At 48.1% G+C, this 2,899-nt stretch overlaps 1 annotated feature.

The window, feature by feature from the left end:
* Window positions 1,011-1,180: a silencer, noted in NCBI's record as "silent region_6255". NCBI's record gives its function as "represses an Ori minimal core promoter by ATAC-STARR-seq in GM12878 lymphoblastoid cells {active_cell/tissue: GM12878}" and the evidence as "EXISTENCE:reporter gene assay evidence [ECO:0000049][PMID:35858748]".

Raw genomic sequence — 2,899 nt, 5'->3', positions numbered from 1 at the left:
CAGGTGCAGGGAGAAGGTCTGGAAATTATCACCAGACCGACTCAAAATTACAAAGTTTTCCAGAGCTTATATACCTTTTATATGCCTATGTGTAAGTGTGCATTCATCTAAAGACATAAGCGGGGCCGGGCGTGGTGGCACACACCCATAATCCCAGCACTTTGGGAGGCCGAGGCAGGTGGATCACCTGAGGTCAGGAGTTCCAGACCATCCTGGCTAACACGGTGAAACCCTGTCACTACTAAAAATACAAAAAATTAGCCAGGTGTGGTCGTGGGCACCTGTAGTCCCAGCTACTCAGGAGGCTGAGGCAGGAGAATTGCTTGAACCCAGGAGATGGAGGTTGCAGTGAGCTGAGATGGTGCCACTGTACTCCAGCCTGGGCAACAGAGTGAGATTCGGCCTCAGAAAAAAGAAAAAAGGCATTAACTTCTTCTAATCTATAACAAAGGTCTGAGTCCTGAAGACCTTTCTCTGGAGCCTCAGTAAATTGACTTAATGTAGGTGGGTCCAGGTGCTGTGGTGATTACCCGAGATAAGGGGAGTTTTTCAGATCCCCAGTAAAACTACGTAAACCCAAACAGGTCCTGTTAGGAATTCCTTCGTTGTCATATTTTCAAGGCCCAGGAAAGGCCTGGGCAAAACTCTTGGTGGGTCTTTGTTACATTCCAGCCTTCGTATAAGGACACTGGCTCTTTCAGGTTTGTTTTTTAATTTTTTTTGAGACAGAGTCTCACTCTGTCACCCAGGCTGGAGTGCAGTGGCGCAATCTCGGCTCAGTGCAACCTCCGCCTCCCGGGTTCACGCCATTCTCCTGCCTCAGCCTCGCGAGTAGCTGGGACTACAGGTGCCCACCACCACGCCTGGCTAATTTTTTGTATTTTTAGTAGTAGAGACAGGGTTTCACCATGTTAGCCAGGATGGTCTCGATCTCCTGACCTCGTGATCCCCCGCCTCGCCTCCCAGAGTGCTGGGATGACAGGCATGAGCCACCGTGCCCGGCCTCTTTCAGGTTTTTATATGTAACTTCGCCACTCAGTTGGTACTGAAGCTGTTATGGAGGCCTGCCTGGGTGAGATGTGGCCGCCACACTGTGGCTGGTATTCGAAATACACAGGAGGCCGCAGCCAGCTTAGCAGAAACACCCTGTGGCTTTCAGAACTTGGTTTTGAGAGTTTCCTGTTTTCTTGACTTTCAAATACCAGTGACTTTTAAGATGCATCAGTGATGTAATAACTGTTGGGGAAAAAAAGAAAAACTATTAAAGATTCCTGTGGATGGTGAGATGACCTTGGTTTCAGAAACACCGAAACATAGAGAATTGTGCATTTTAGAATCCAATAAATCTACGCTGGGCACGGTGGCTCATGCCTGTCATCCCAGCACTTTGGGAGGCCAAGGCAGGCGGATCACCTGAGGTCAGGAATTCGAGACCAGCCTGGCCAACATAGTGAGAACCTATATCTACTAAAAATACAAAAAATTAGCCAGGCGTGGTGGCCCATGGCTGTAATCCCAGCTGTTCTGGAGGCTGAGGTGGGAGAATTGCTTGAACCCAGGAGGCAGAGGTTGCAGTGAGCTGAGACGATGCCGTTGTATTCCAGCCTGGGTGACAGAGCGAGACTCCGTCTCAAAAAAAAAAAAAAAAAATCTGATTATTTACCTGTGTACCTTCACAAGTGTTTAAAAAAAAAAAAAAAAGGCCGGGCATAGTGGCTCAAGTCTGTAATCCCAGCACTTTGGGAGGCCGAGGCAGGCGGACCACAAGGTCAGGAGATCGAGACCATCCTGGCTAATACGGTGAAACCCCGTCTCTACTAAAAATACAAAAAAATTAGCCTGGCGTAGTGGCGGGCATCTGTAGTCCCAGCTACTCGGGAGGCTGAGGCAGGAGAGTGTTGTGAACCCAGGAGGTGGAGCTTGCAGTGAGCTGAGATTGCGCCACTGCACTCCAGCCTGGGAGACAGTGAGACTCCATCTCAAAAAAAAAAAAAAAAAAAAAGATTACGTTGATATTTTGCCTACTATAATCTTAGAAATTTGCAATTTCCTGTCATTGAGTTTTGTAACTTTCTACCCTCTGCTGACAAAAAAAATTTAAAATGTCTCATGGCAGCCTGTGTTCTTAAAATTCGAACTGTTTATCCATAGCCCTTGAGAGAACGGTTTAATGTGAGTTGGTTGGGAGTGACCGTTGTTTGTTTTTTTGAGACAGAGTCTCACTCGCTCACCCAGGCTGGAGTGTAGTGGCGTGATCTCAGCTCACTGCAAACTCTGCATCCCAGGTTCAAGTCATCCTTCCACCCCAGCCTTCCAGCTAGCTCGGATTACAAACATGCACCACCACACCTGGCTAACTTTTGTATTTTTGGTAGAGACAGGGTTTTACCACGTTGGCCAGGCTGGTCTCAAAATCCTGAGTTCAAGGCCTGCATCAGCCTCCCAAAGTGCTGGGATGACAGGCGTGAGGCATGACGTCAGGCCAAGGGGGTGGCTGTTTTATAACAGGTTTGAAAATTTGTTTTTCTTTTTTTCTTTTTTTTTTTTTTTTTGAGACAGACTTTTGCTCTTGTTGCCCAGGCCGGAGTGCGATGGCAAGATCTCGGCTCACTGCAGCCTCTGCCTTCTGGGTTCAAGTGATTCTCCTGCCTCAGCCTCCCAAGTAGCTGGGATTACAGACACCTGCCACCACGCCTGGCTAATTTTGTATTCTTAGTAGAGATGGGGGTTTCTCCATGCTGGCCAGGCTGGTCTCAAACTCCCGAACTCAGGTGATCCACCCGCCTTGGCCTCCCAAAGTGCTGTGATGACAGGCGTGAGCCCCTGTGCCCAGCCAGGGGGTGGCTGTTTTATAATAGGTTTGCAAGTTTGTTTTTCTTTTTGTTTTGTTTTGTTTTTT

This window comes from Homo sapiens, chromosome 15 (assembly GCF_000001405.40).
Source record: "Homo sapiens chromosome 15, GRCh38.p14 Primary Assembly".
NCBI lineage: Eukaryota > Metazoa > Chordata > Mammalia > Primates > Hominidae > Homo > Homo sapiens.
The sequence above is the reverse complement of the archived record's forward strand: the minus strand, read 5'-3'. Positions and strand labels throughout refer to the sequence as shown.